The sequence below is a fragment of the Homo sapiens genome, chromosome 6 (genome assembly GCF_000001405.40).
Source record: "Homo sapiens chromosome 6, GRCh38.p14 Primary Assembly".
In the NCBI taxonomy this organism is placed as follows: domain Eukaryota; kingdom Metazoa; phylum Chordata; class Mammalia; order Primates; family Hominidae; genus Homo; species Homo sapiens.
The window spans coordinates 131,554,867-131,571,064 of NC_000006.12; positions in this window are offsets into that span (position 1 = coordinate 131,554,867).

Sequence of the window (16,198 nt, forward strand, 5' to 3'; positions counted from 1 at the left end):
ATTTTTAAAGTTTAACAGTATTTTTTAATAGTAGTCAAAAGTGAAATAATCTACATATTTATTATTCAGATGAATTTATGATATAATCACTTGACAGAATACTAGTATCTCTTTAGAAACATTTTTAAAAGAATTTTTAATAACATAGAAATGTTCATAAAATAATTATAAGAGAAAAAAGCAAGATATAAAAGAATCTCCAATGAAGAAAATATGTAAATACACAAAATATTAGAAAGTAATATTGCACAATATTAGCCATATTTATATATATGGGATGTAGGGTTGTGTATGATGTACATTTTCTTGTTTATTCTTGTGAATATTTTAAATATTTTATAAGGAAACATATCTACTTTTTAAAAATTTATTTATTTATTTATTTATTTTTGAGATGGAGTCTCACTCTGTTGCCCAGCCTGGAGTGCAGTGGTGTGATCCTGGCTCACCGCAACCTCCACCTCCCAGGTTCAAGCGATTCTCCCATGTCAGCATCCAGAAGAGCTGGGATTACAGGCGCATGCCACCACGCCTGGCTAATTTTTGTATTTTTAGTAGAGACAGGGTTTCACCATGTTGGCCGGGCTGGTCTCCCACCTTAGCCTCCCAAAGTGCTGAGATTTTAGGCGTAAGCCACCGCACCCAGCCATTATCCACTTTTTAATAAGAAGAAAATGTTAGTTTGGTCTATCAGCAAGAAGAAAAAGAAAAATTATAAGGGACCTGACAAATCATCCAATAAATAGCTAAGAGTTGACTAATTGAAATAATAAATGTCCCCCATCAATCTCATTAGAGATATTTATGTTTGGACGCAAAACTTTTGTGAAAGTATATTTGTTTATAGAAAAACACAGGTTCTTAATACCTTCCTTGGAAGTTTTTTCTTATAACATATTAGTTTGTTTATATTCATTGTTTTTGTGCTGAAAGTAGAGTACAAAATGCTTGTATAAATTGTGTTCTCAATAAATATATCTTGAATGAATGAATGAGTTTACCAACCAGCAAGTATGTCTAGGAGTACTTGTTGTATAAATATTTTAATCATAGTTTTCTCTAAGCCTTCTCTAGGAAGATTAGTTTTAATATGTTATAAACATAGCAATATGAATCCAACTAATACTAAAACTACAGGTGTTTTAATACAGGTGTGACATACTTTTTTTCTGTCAGTAGAAAAGAGAGTATCAGACCTTGAACTTGCATCCAATTGTCTGAAAGCACCAAAAACAGAAGCCCCTCCCCAAAGCACAAACTTTCCCTGATGTTTACTTGTAGGAGAGTTTGGCAGCCAAGTTCCTGGATGTTACAAATTAAATACTGCTCATAGCCCTGCTTCCAACTGCCTTGTTGGCAAAAATTTTGAAACTCTAGAAGGACCATGCTCAGAAGCTAGACCTAGGGGGAATGGTAAGCAATGGAAACTCCTAAATCCAAGAGAGGAACAGTGACTGCATTCACCCACTTAAGAAATCACTTATCTTTAACAATAGTTGTTTTTGTACTTTGGGGGGTTTGTGGCTATTCCCTAAGATCCTTTTTCCACTGACTTTTACAAGCAATTTAGGGCCTCTTTTTCAACAGATGTAAGTAAATCAGCCTATGATATTTCAACATAAACTATGTCAAAACGTTTCACATTACTCTTTAATTGTTTATTTATTTTTCCCATGCTTTGAAATTATAAAAAATTTGAGGGTGATTTTAGGCTACACATAAAATGTGATAGTCAATTTGTTAGAGAATATAAAATTACAGCTAGATAGGAGGAATAAGTTATAGGGTTCTACATCACTTTAGGAAGACTACAATTAACAATAATATATAGTTTTAAATAGCTAGAAGGAGAATATTGAACATTCCCACACGAAGAAACGATAGATGTTTGAGATGATGGATATGCTAATTACCCTGATCTGATCACTATATATTATATGTATCTAAATATCACTATATGCTTGTAAATATGTACAATTATTATTTGTCAGTTAAAATAATCAGAACCAGAAAAATTAAACTGTACACACACACACACAAAACCAATCTGACAAACACTCAAGTAATACAGTCTGACATAATTGGCTACAGGTAGGAAATAAATTTTGCTTTGAGTTTCCTGGAAAACATAGTTCAAAAGAAAAGTCAGTTACATAGTCTTCATTGTATAAAAGAAAAAAACTTGAGTTTCTCAGGCCAAGAAAAAATTTCATAGCACTAAGTTCTGAAAGAAATTACTCAGTATACTTGTGTAGGGATTTTTTAATGACATGGTACACAATGACCTCAATATCCACACAGCATACATAGATATTGATTTTTTAAAGCTGCTTCTTGTGTTCTTCCAAACAGGTCAATTTCATGATACTAAAAAACAGCCCAGAGACATCAGTCTGCATTGAATTAAAATAGTGCTCAAGGATGTCACATTCTTAGAATGAACTCTGAATAAAACCTACATTAAAAATCAGAATGCATGGATTGCTTCACCTTTGATTATTCACCTGTTAATAGATGCAGATATGAAGTATCACTGATCGAAGGAGGTTCCAGTCAAATACGTGAAGATGAAGCAAATGGTGGGGTTCATATTCTTTGTTTTTCCTTTTTTGTAAATTTTATTTTATTTTATTTTATTTGAGACAAGGTCTCACTCTGTCACCCAGGCTAGAATGCAGTGGCACGATCTCAGCTCACTGCAACGTCCACCTCCCGAGTTCAAGCGATTCTCCTGCCTCAGCTACCCAAGTAGCTGGGACTGCAGGCATGCCACCATACTTGGCTAATTTTTGTATTTTTAGTAGAGACTGGGTTTCACCGTGTTGGCTAGGCTGGTCTTGAACTCCTGACTTTAAGTGATCTGCTTGCCTTGACCTCCCAAATTGCTGGGATTACAGGTGTACACCACACTCAGCTGATTTTTTGTATTTTTTTGTAGAGATGAGGTTTCACCATGTTGTCCAGACTGGTCTCGAACTCCTGGGCTCAAGCCAACTGTCTGCCTTGGCCTCCCAAAGTGCTGGGATTACAAGCATGAGCCCATATTTTTCAATAAAATCAAGGGATATGCCAGTTCATCCTGAGAAGTAATTCTACCTTGACTGAAAAAAGGACCTGCACAGAAAATTAAGTTTTGTTTAAATACCAATCTTGGTACTACTTGTAGACCAAATTGCTTTTCAAATCCACTTTTTAAAGTGTCAGCTTGTAACATTTGATGTTTGTATGGTGTAAACCTGCAACTAAATGGGACAAAATATTTCAAAATTATCCAGTAAAATGATAATATTTGGACTAAAAAATTACTCTGCTCAAACTTAGCTTCCTGTTAAAATCAGCTTTGGGCAAGTTAACCAGCCTCTTTGAACTTATTTCCACTTTGAAAAACAGAAATGTATAATCAAAAGTCAAATGGCAGCCGGCGCAGTGGCTCATGCCTGTGATCTCTTTGAGAGATTTGGGAGGCGGAGGTGAGTGGATCACCTGAGTCCAGGAGTTTGAGACCAGCCTGGGAAACATGGCAAACCCTTGTCTCTACAAAAAAAATATAAAAAATTAGCTTGGCACAGTGGTGGGCACCTGTGATCCCAGCTACTTGGGGGACTGAGGCGGAAAAATCGCTTGTACTCGGGAGGTGGAGGTTGCAGTGAGCCCAGATCGTGCCACTGCCACTCCAGCCTGGGTGACAGAGTGAGACCCTGTCTCAAAGAAAAAAAAAAAAAGTAAATGACATAAATAACATAAAAGTGTGTTTTACTCTATGAAACACCAGGCAGATGTCGGAGATTATTATTACACCTGTTAAAGTTTTTTAAATGACTGCCAGAACTTTGCTCAGACTAAAGGTTCTGAAAATGACTCTCATAATTTCTGCCTGAAGTTTTTTTTTCCCATTGTGATAGTTAATTTTATGTGTCAACCTATCTGGGCTGAGATGCCCAGAGAGCTGGCACAATACTATTTCTGGATGTATCTGTAAGGGTGTTTCAGTGAGATCCTAGCATTTGAATCAGTAGACTGAGTAAAGGAGAGAGCCCTCACTTGTGCAGCGGGGCATCGTCTAATCCACTGAAGGCATGAAGAGAACAGAAAGGCAGAGAAACTGCAACTGTTCTCCCTGCATGAGCTGTGGCATCCATTTTCTCCCGCTGCAGGACGTTGGCAATCCTGGTTCTCAGACCTTCAGACTTGGACTGGGACTTACACCATTGGCTCCTCTGATTCTCAGGCCTTCAAATTTGCACTGGAACCACACCCAACACCACTGGCTTTCCTAGGCTTCCAGCTGGCAGACAGCAGATCATGGGACAGCCTCCATAATCTAGTGACCGAATTCTTCATAATAAATATCTTTCTCTGTATCTGCATATCTTTTATTGATTCTGTGTCTCTGGCTTTCTCTGCCAAATGTACTCATTCAGTTTAACATGTAGTTGTTTGAGCACCCACAAAATGCTTTCAGAGAGACAAAAGAAATGAAAACATGGCTCCTTCACACAGAAGGGATTTGGAGGCAACCTCTAGAACTACATTCTAGTAAATGACAATGTTATTAAATGATGCAGTGAGCATTCCTGGCAATAATAATAGTTCTGCAAGTTGAGAGCTGTAAGAGTTGAGACCTTCATGGGCTGATTGGGAAAGCTTCTTGAGGCAGTAGGATCAGTAGGATGCCACAGAGTGATTCTTTTTTTTTTTTTTTTTTTTTTTTTTGAGATGGAGTCTCGCTCAGTCGCCCAGGCTGGAGTGCAGTGGCGCAATCTCGGCTCACTGCAAACTCCGCCTCCCGGGTTCACGCCATTCTCATTCTCCTGCCTCAGCCTCCCGAGTAGCTGGGTCTACAGGCGCCCGCCACCATGCCCGGCTAATTTTTTGTATTTTTAGTAGAGACGGGGTTTCACCGTGTTAGCCAAGATGGTCTCGATTTCCTGACCTCGTCATCCGCCCGCCTCAGCCTCCCAAAGTGCTGGGATTACAGGCGTGAGCCACCTCGTCCGGCCGCACAGAGCGATTCTTTTTCTTTTTTCTTTTTTCTTTTTTTTAAAGAGGGAGTCTCACTCTGTTACCCAGGCTGGAATACAGTGACGCAACCTCGGGTCACTGCAACCTCTCCCTCCTGGGTTCAAGTGATTCTCCTGCCTCAGTCTCCCAAGTAGTTGGGATTACAGGCACCCACCACCATGCCTGGCTAATTTCTGTATTTTTAGTAGAGACGAGGCTTCACCATGTTGGCCAAGCTAGTCTAGAACTCCTGACCTCAGGTGATCTGCCCGCCTCAGCCTCCCAAAGTGCTGGGATTACAGGCGTGAGCCACCGCACCCGGCCCCATAGAGTGTTTCTTCTCCTCTTCTAATCAGGTCCTCTGTGATCTTGTCAGATAGCTTTCATTAAGTACTTAACAACTGGTAAAATGTCCAATGAAATATTTTTTAAAATTTCCCCAGGATTGAGATCTGCATTTTAGTTTCTATGTGAGATTAAATTTTATTGCCTGAGTTCAGATCTTAAAAGATTTAATAAAGTTTGAGTCATTTTAATATCACACAGGAAGGGGAAACAATTTTTTTTCTTTCTGTACACTGGGAGCACTACGTATGATGGTTAGGCGTCAAGATAGATCAAGGTACTAATCTGACAATGTGTGAAGGAATTGGAAAACTCTTCTACTTCTTTAAAATTTCAGAATCTATATATGTACGATTTACTTCAGAAACTAGGATAGACAAGAAATGTGACCAAAATTTGATTCCTGTATGCATACAGATGAGGTGGCCTAAGACACACTAAAATAAGCAGGTCTACTCAGGAGAAAAGTCAACCTGCTAATTTCTCAAGCCAGTTGAGATCAGCCCATCCAATCAGAAAATCTCATCCATTCACTCCAAAATGACAGTCAGGGATTATGGTAAGGTTTATTTTTATTTTTATGTTTTAGACTCAAATACCATTTCATGGGTCATTTATAAGAGAAATGACAGGATCCTTAATAAAACCTAAGGTTATTTTTTTCAGACAGGGTCTCAGTTTGTCACCCAGGCTGGAGGACAGTGGTGCAAACATGGCTTATTGCAGCTTCAACTTCCTGAGCTCAAGCAATCCTCCCTCCTCAGCCTCCCAAGTAGCTGGGACTACAGGTGTGCACCACCATGTTCAGCTAATTTTTAAAATTTTTTGTAGAGACAGGGTCTCGCCATGTTGTCCAGGCTGGTCTTGAACTCCTGGGCTCAAGCAGCCCTTCCACCTTGGCCTTCCAAAGTGCTGGGATTACAGGCATGTGCCACCATGCTCAGCCCAACCCAAGGCTATCGAAGTAGGTCCAACAGAGAATCTTATATGCCCCTTCTTCATGTTATTTGCATCTTTCAGATCTTTGTAAAGGTCCAGCCTATTCCGTTCATATCCCCTTGGAGTTTCCCCTGGTACAGTTTCCCTCTCCCTTACCCTTAGTTACACCTTTAGCTTTGGGATAAACTGGTATCTAAGAGCTTCAGAGGTTGGCTGCTTTAAATTTTAGCAGAATTCCCCAGTATAGTAATAGTGACCATATTTTTGGATTTTCTTATACGGTTCTGATTCCACTTTTTAAATAATAAAGGTGATTTATTTAAATTTTTTAATTTAAAAATAGAATAACATCAGTATTACAGCTCCTTATATCAAGTTTGCAAAAATAGAATTTCCTTTATTTCCTAAAATTCATCTTGATTTCTATTTCATAGCCCCTTTCCCACTTGGCAAGAAACACCCTCAATCATTTGCCATTTCCCTCCATGGCCCCTATCCTGAGTTGGGTCACAGTCTTGCCCAGGGCCAGGTTTCAGTGTGAATGGTGTCCCGTCTGGTTTTCAGTCCATGCAGGTGGCCATGAAGGTGTCCACAAACCAGAGGAAAAATTCCTGTGGACCCAGTGGTCCTCAGTTGCTGCCAAGCTGTGATTGGGGCAGAAATCGTTCTGATTGCTCTCCATCCATCTGAAGAAACACACCTCCCTGTCATGCACAACTGGGTTGTAGCAAGATGGAATAGGGAGGAGCAAAGGGGAAAACTGGCTGCCCAGAAGCCAAGTTCTCTCCCAGAGACCAAACCCCTCTGTTCTGATGGCCTCCATGTTTCTAGGGGTTTTTCCCGGAAGAAATCCCTTTCCTTTTATAAGTTTGGCCAAAACACTTTATTTAGACCCAAATCCTCTCTTTACTCCAAGACTTTAGGAAAAGAAAGCCAAGAAGTTTTGCAATCTTGTTCAGCTCTCTGCCTTGCCACCTCCCTCCACTGAAGCTGGGAGCACAAACCTGGTTCTCTCTTAGGTGAGGAAAGAAGGAAAGAGAAAAATACAAGGAAAAAGGAAAAAATAGATTTACTGCCTCAAAATATCTACCCCCCTCACCTGTAAATAATTATGTTTTTCCAGTCCTAGTAGTAAAGGTTTATTTGTTTATGTCTAGTAATAAAGCTGGAAAGATGGTGAACTCTAGTTCTGATGTTACACGCTACTGGAGAATGATCTCTTCAAATGTTTTCCCAAAATGACCATGCACACTATAGATTATTTTAGGGATCACTTAATCTTCCCCTCTTCTCCCTGACAGAACATCAGCCTCTGCGATCCTGCTAATGCACAGGGCCACTCAAACCAGTTATTTACAGTATAAATTGCTTAATGCTTATTTATGCATTTCACAATCATCCTTTAATTGTTAACATCAAATGAGGTAGGTAGAAGTTGCATCATGTCCTAACTTTAAGACTTTTTTTACACCTCCCTTTCTCCAATACGCTTTCAGTTGACATTGAGGAAACAAAACTCTCAACTAACCTGTGCAGAAGCCAAATAATAACAATAATACATTTTATATAAAACCCATCACAGCATTTATGATAGGCTATTAATAATTAAAAGCAAAATGTGGTGTTAAAAGCTCGTTTGAAAATTCCAAGAAGCACAACTAAATATATAGATCATGAGGCAGTGCATATAATCAATACACATAGAGAAACATTTATTCCCATTTGTGTTTATTTTCTGGGCTTGTTTATGATAGAATTATTGGTAGAGAAGAAAGCTAGCTAAATATATTAGAAGCATAAATAACGCAATATTTACGACAATGTTTAACCTAACTAAGATCATTTAAAATGAGTAGGCCGGGTGTGGTGGCTCATGCCTGTACATTTTGGGAGGCTGAGGTGGGTGGATCGCTTGAGCCCAGGAGTTTGAGAACAGCCTGGGCAACATGGCGAGACCCCATCTCTAAAAAAATACAATAATTAGCTGGGCATGGTGGCACATGCCTGTAGTTCCAGCTACTTGGGAGGCTGAGACAGGAGAATCACCTGAGCCCAGGGAGGTTGAGCCTTCAGTAAGCTGTAATTGGATCACTGCACTCCCAGCTGGGTGACAGAACGAGACCCTGTCTCAAAAAAAAAAAAAAATAAATAATAATAGTAGATAAAATGAGTAGTGCTTTAGCAGCATCATTTGCTTGCAGTTTATGTGTTAGTTTGATGTATCTATAACTTCAAAAATGTCAGCTCTTTTATTTACTATTTTATTTGAAGGTAACACCTACTACTTTAAGGAAGAGCTTTTATTTCTTCCCATTTTATTTACTTATTACTTGCATCACCATGGACTCAGAAATCCTTATTTTACTCTACTTGTTATAATCAATTACTATCATTATTTATTTTGTGGCTTTGACTGCCCCAGATTTAGCCAGTCTTTTGACTGCTGTATCTTTTACATGATCCTCTTATTTACTTATTTGGGACAGAGTCTTGCTCTGTCACCATGATGGTGCATGCCTGTAGTCCCAGCTACTTGAGAGGCTGAGATGGGAGGATTGCTTGACCCTGGGAGGTTGAGTCTGCACCTGAAAGGTTGAGTCTGTACCTCCTAGGGTCAAGTGATCCTCCTATCTCAGCCTCTCAAGTAGCTGGGACTACAGGCATGCACCACCACGCCCTGCTAATTTTTGTATTTTTGTACAACATGGGGTTTTACCATGTTGCCCAGGCTGGTCTCGAACTCCTGGGCTCCAGCGATCCACCCATTTTGGCCTCCCAAAGTGCTGGAATTACAGGTGTGGCCACTGCATCAGCTGATCCTCACATGTATTGAGCACTTCCTTACTTTCTGGTACCACAAGAGATTTCAGGCTTATTTTGTACTTGCAGCTTATACTTTCTCTCTTCTAGCCCTGGAATGACCCATTTCTCTAAGGAGCCCTGGTCCTTTTTATTTGAGAATGGTAGATGGAGACCAAGATGCATGTGCAGACGTATCCATTGGTACTGGGAAATCAGTCTCCAGGCTCTTTCAGCAGAGAGCTGAGAAATGTATGTGTACACACACACACACACACACTCTCACACACTTCTTATTTCTATATCTAGTCACCTGAAAATATATTGAAAACCATGAGTTCATATGGATCCTCTGCTCTAACACCACTGAACAGATGCTAGCCTTTTACCTTTCCTTATATCTAACTCCTTTTTCAGATTGTGGGAATCCTGGCTTTCTTTTCCACAATTTATTTACTAGCCATATGTAAGTAAGGTCCTTTGTCCATATTTTGTTCCCCTTTGTTGTCCCTTAATGATTTTCTAAAAAAAAATTATTTTTAATTTTTGTGGGCACATAGTAGGTATATATATTTATTTTGAGGTACATGAAATATTTTGATACAGGCATGCGATGTGTAATAATGACATCGTGGAGAATAGGGTATCCAGCTCCCCAAGCATTTATTCTACAAACAATCCAAATATATTCTTTTAGTTATTTAAAAGTGGGAAATTAAGTTGACGATAGTCATCCTGTTGTTCTATCAAATAGTAGGTCTAATTAATTCTTTCTATTTTTTTTTTTTTGTCTCCACCTCCCCCCATCCTCCTACTACCCTTCTCGGCCTCTGGTAACCATCTTTCTACTCTCTATGTCCATGAGTTCAATTGTGTCCATGAGTTTAGCTGTTTTGACTTTCAGATCCCACAAATAAGTGAGAACAGGCAATGTTTGTCTTTCTGTGCCTGGCTTGTTTCACTTAACACAATGATCTCCACTTCCATCCATGTTATTGCAAATGACAGGATTCATTCTTTTTATACCTCAATAGTACTCCATTGGGTATATAACACATTTTCTTTATCTGTTCATCTGTTGATGGACACTTAGGTTGTTTCCAAATCTTGGTTTTTATGAATAGTGCTGCAATAAACATGGTAGGGCAGGTATCTCTTCAATATACTGATTTCCCTTGTTTTGGCTGTGAGATCGCTGGATCATGTGGTAGCTCTATTTTTACTTTTTTGAAGAACCTGTAAACTGTTCTCCACAGTGGTTGTACTAATTTACATTCCCACCAACAGTGTACGAGGGTTCCCTTTTCTCCACTTCCTCACCAGCATTTGTTATTGCTTGTCTTTTGGATGAAAGCCATTTTAACTGGGGTGAGGTAATATCTCATTGTAATTTTGATTTGCATTTCACTGATGATCAGTGATGTTGAGCACCTTTTCATAGGCTTGTTTGTCATTTGTATGTCTTCTTTTAAGAACTATCTATTCAAATCTTTTGCCCATTTTTTAATCGGGTGATTAGTTTTTTTCCTAGAGTTCTTTGAGCTCCTTAAATACTTTGGTTATTAATCCCTTGTCAGATGGGTAGTTTATAAATATTTTCTCCCATTCTGCAGGTTGTCTCTTCACTTTGTTGATGGTTTCCTTTGCTGTGCAGAAGCTGTTTAACTTGATCTGATCCTTTGTCTATTTTTGCTTTGGTGCCTGTGCTTGTGGGGTATATTACTCAGGAAATTTTTGCCCAGACCAACATCCTGGAGATTTTCCCCAATGTTTTCTTGTAGCAGTTTCATAGTTTTGAGGTCTTAGATTTAAGTCTCCTTAATGATTTTTAAGAGCGCCTTTTCATTAGGGCCATTGGTCCTTTGTTGCTCAAAGTGTTTCAAACATATACTTTTTCCTTTACTTTTTTATTTTTGCTTTACAGTATTTACAATTTTTTTCTCTTTTTTGGAGTTAGTGTCTTATATGTGGTGATGGTATCATGGATGTATGCATATGTCCAAGCTCATTAAAATGTATACATTAAGCCAGGTGCGGTGGCTCACGCCTGTAAATCCCAGCACTTTGGGAGGCCAATGCGGGTAGATCACAAGGTCACGAGTTCGAGACCAGCCTGACCAACATGGTGAAACCGCTTCTCTACTTAAAATACAAAATATTAGCCGGGCATGGTGGTATGAGCCTGTAATCCCAGCTACTCAGGAGGCTGAGGCAGGGGAATCACTTGAACCCAGGAGGTGGAGGTTGCAGTGAGCCAAGATCGCACCACTGCACTCCAGCCTGTTCAACAGAGCAAGACTCCATCTCAAAAAAAAAAAAAGCATACATTAGATATGTATATTTTTGTATATCAACTATAAATTGATAAATATTAATGAAGCTTACATTTCTCAATTTCATTGAGAAATTAAATCTATCAAGTTTATTAACTAGAATTCATTTTTTTTAAATAACATAAAATGATGGAAATAGACAATTACCATCTGGCAAATATCACAGCAGTAATTTACTTTAGTCAAGAATCATCAATGGATGCTAAGCTTAGTGGGTCAAAGTGTGATGACAAAGAGGATAATTATATAATATTAAAGTATTGCCCCCACAAGATACTTATTTATTACAAAGGAAAAATAGCAAATTTGCAGAGGAGAAACTTGAGAGGTACTACTTTAACCACGTGATTAAAGTAATGGGACAGTAATGGGACAGACCAACGTCAAATCCCTCCTAATGTGATACACTGAGAAGTACACCACATTACTTTTGTAGTATTCTTGAACAAATGCAAACCTTGAATTTAATTAAAGAAGACCTCGGATGAATTTAAGTTGAGAGACTCTTCAAAAGTCTGAAGTTGATGTAGGACAAAGAAAAACTGAGGAACTGTACCAGGGGAAAGGAGACTAAGATACATGGCAATTTTGGGGAAGCTGATCCTGAGTTAAGGGTACTGATCATATATTATTTTCCTGGATCCCAAATAGCAAACAGCATGGAAGCAAGCACTAAGTAAAATGATTATTTAGTAAATACTTATTGGCTGATTAATTATTAAAGAATCTAGATGTGTAGAGTCTTCTGACTTCATCAGCTCACCTCTTCCTTAGTAGGAATATTTGTTCCAAACCACCCACAGAATATAGGTGTGCAGTTAGGTATGCCAGAAGAATTCTGTCCTTCATCAGATGATTTATAGCACATAGGCTAAAAAAACTGAATAGCTTTGAAGGTGCTAGACTCTGCCAAGTGAAGATGTTCCACGATCTCAGCCATCACTCCAATTTATTTGTTCTTGATCCTGAAGAACTAAAGAGCAAGGCCTCCTTGCAGACATGTCTTCAGTCAAATCTTCAGAGAGTCTATACGGAGAATGGGTCTCCTATTTACTTCTCCATTTGGGAAATGTCACTCAAATATCATAAATTAAACTTCCCACTGAATTTTGTCTATTTTCAAAAATATACCTGTAGACTTTCAGCTTCTGAGAATGGGAAGCTCACATAAAAATAGCCAGGATTTCAGAGTCTCTGAGCCTACCCTGGCTCAGAAGGCTGCCCAACAACAACAACAACAACAACACAGCCAGGATTTTTGTAAAAAATTGATAAATAATACAAATTAACACATCCATCAGGCCTAGAAAATCCAAGAAGGATATATGAAATCCAAAAATGATATATAAAAATCTATACCAAGATACATCACACCAAGGCTACAGAATGTCAAAGTAAAAGAGAGAAATCTGAAAAACATCTAGATAAAACCACTGTCCTCCAGAAATGCTTCAATGGCAGCTTAGATAAGTTAGTTTCCAGAGCATGAGCCAACCTATTTTATTTTGCAAAAATACTACCATCTCTCAAATTAATACACTTTTGGTTTTCTTTAATAATTACAAGAAACTGATATCAAGTGTTAATTAATATATAGATGCAGTAAAATGCTTCAGCAAACAATAAAATTTTGTTTTACTTTTAGTTTTATTTTCCAGAGAAGTTAGATTTTGAGGGTATCCATTACTTAATAGACCAAACGACGAGAAAGAAGGCAGAGAAAAATAAAATGTAAACTTTGATTGACTTTCCACTTTTATGTAGAAAACATGATTGATTTTCTCCAGATTATTTTTTCCATTTTTCAGAGTGTGTAGTTCATTACTCGTCAGATTTAGTTTCTGAAAGATTCTGAAATTTCCTTTAATCTTTTAAAAGCTAAAGGTTGACTCTCATTTACAAGAATGAAGAAGTCTTGCAGGTTTAGGTGACATGAGCTTGTGGGAATAACACTAGAAGTATCCAATGTTATCCAAGAAACATGGAGGATCCAAGAAATGTGGATTTCATTCTCAGTTCTAGACTCAAGTAGCTACGAAACTTGGTAGAGAAGCCACTCTACCTTAGGAGCCACAGTTATTTCATATCCTATAATTCTATACCCCAGGCCACACTGACCTTGGAATAAATCTAGATCTCAATAACGGACATGCACAGTAGTTCCCTGGCTCCAATCCTCACCCACTAGTGCAGAACGTTAAATCTTTGAATTATTCCTAGGAATACCAAGAGGCAATCCATATGTGCTCACGAATCTACTGATTTTAATTCCCTTTTATTTACACCTTCTGCCTTCTTCCCTATTTTTAGACTCTCTTTAGGGGTCTGTAGCTGAAGCTTCCAAATCAAAACTTAAATATCTTCCCCTTGACTTCAATGCTATAGTTCAGGGACTGGTTTGGACATTAGGTGACATCTCTGGAGACCTCAGGGCACCAAAGTAGGTGTAGCTCCCTCATTGAGTTCCTCTCTGTCACCTGGTCCCAGAGCAGTGCTGCCTTGAGCTCCCTATGCTCAGAGAGAGAACAGTTGCACTGCTCTTTAAGAGTTTGTTTCCCATAGCCTCCACATTCGTAAGAGTGCCGCTTCAATTCTGGGAGGGTAAAAAAAAAAGAAAGGAAGGAAAGAGTAGGCGTCTGTTAACATATAGTTGTGAAGCAACCCGAGCCAGACACTTCTTATGAACCTTCTTTTTATGGTGACCCATGCTACTTAGGCTACTAATATGCCTTAAGGGGTTAAGAGAGTTCCTACTCAAAGAAATGACTATGTAACTTACCCAGAGATCATCCTGTTTGAACATTTCCATAAAATCATAGTGTGTAGTGTTCCAGGACCAGGTCCAACCTTACCGTATTGGATTTAAGGGGTCTAGGAAATGCACCAAGCAAAATGATTCCCTGAAGTCTCCCGATTCAAGATTTAGTCTTTCAAATTTTGTGTATATTCCAGTCTTTGGTAAAAGTGCTAAGAATCCTGGGCCTCATCTGGAAAGAATTCTTATCTGTTAGCTGGCTGTTGAAAAGACAATGCAGAAATGGGCTGTAGTTTGGAGCAACAGAAAGAAAAACAAGTAGAGGGCAAAAGTGTGTCATTTTTTTCATCCCTCTCATTATGTAAGTTTTTTGTTTTTAACTTTTTTTTTTTAACTTTTTTTTTTTTTTTTTTTTTTTGAGATGGAGTCTTGCTCTGTCACCCAGGCTGGAGTGGAGTGCAGTGGTGCAATCTTGGCTCACTGCAACCTCCGTCTCCCGGGTTCAAGTGCTTCTCCTGCCTCAGCCTCCTGAGTAGCTGGGATTACAGGCACTTGCCACCACACTCGCCTAATTTTTTGTATTTTTGGTAGAGACAGAGTTTCACCGTGTTGGCCAGGATGGTCTCGAACTCTTGACCACGTGATCCACCTGCCTTGGCCTCCCAAAGTGCTGGGATTACAGGCATGAGCCACCACGCCTGGCCTCATTATGTAACTTTTTAATTCATGCTTTCTTTATCATTTCAATAATATTAATTTGGGCTGCTAGGGGTTGAATTACATCCCTCCAAAAGATATGTTGATGTCCTAACCTTCAGTACCTCAGAATGTGGCTGTATTTGGAAACAGGACCATAGCAGATGTAACTAGTTAATATGACACCATACTGGTGGGTGGGGGGCTTAACCCAATATGACTGTCGTCCCTGTAAGAAGACAGCCATGTGAAAACACAGAGACACAGGGAGCGTGCCAAGTGAAGATGGAGGATTGGAGTGATGCACCTAATGAGCCGAGAAATGCCAAAGATTGCCAGAAAACCTCCAGCAGCTAGGAAGAGGTAGGAAGGATTCCCTGCAGGTCTCAGAGGGAGCATGGCTCTGCCGACACCTGGATTTCAGACTTCTATCCTCTAAACTATGGATAAAAAAATTGTATTTTATTTTATTTTTATTTTTTATTTTTTATTTTTTATAAGCACCCAGTTTGTGGTACAAGTACTTTGTAACAGCAGCCATAGGAAACTAATACAAGGGCCTGTTATGTGTCAGATCTCATTCCAGTAGCTTTGGATTAGGGTCAAATAAGATGTGGTCTCATTCCCAGGAAAATGCCAGATAGGATTTTTCTTTCAACATTTGGTTAAGAGACTTGCAGTGTTAGAAGGGCTTTTAAAACCTCAATGTACATAACCCTGAGATAAATGAAAGAATTGAGCTGAAGAAAGTGTATCTTTGATAGAGTGATATAGGTGAGACACCCCTTATCTTCTTCCTCTAGCAGTCTTGAGATGACAGCTTTGGAGACTGAAAAAATAGCTTGTGTTAATAATAAAAAGGAAGCAGCAATCACTAGAAGTCAGCATGAGTTCACCAAGAACTGGACCTGTCAAGGTCAGCCCATCAACTTTGACAGGGAAGTCAGATTGGCAGAAGAAAAGGTAGTAAAGTGTGATGAGATTTTATTGAGACACCGGATAAATTTCCTTACGATGTCCTTGTGAACAGGATGGAGTGGTTGAGTTGGAAATTAGTAATCAGTTGTATCTCAACTGATGATTAATTAATGGGGCTATGCCAATCTGGGTTAAGGTTTCCAGTGGAATGTCACAGAGTGTTTGTAAAAGTGCTGCCTTATTCAACATTTTTATCAGTGACTTGGAAAAGTCAAATGTTATCAAATTTGTGTCTGATGGACCAGATAACTCCACCTGTATTTGGATATGTGCATTTTGTTCTGGATGCCCTATTTAGGAAAGGCAGAGGGAAGCGAGATGTTTTGAAGACAGCGACCAAGTTGGTGACCTG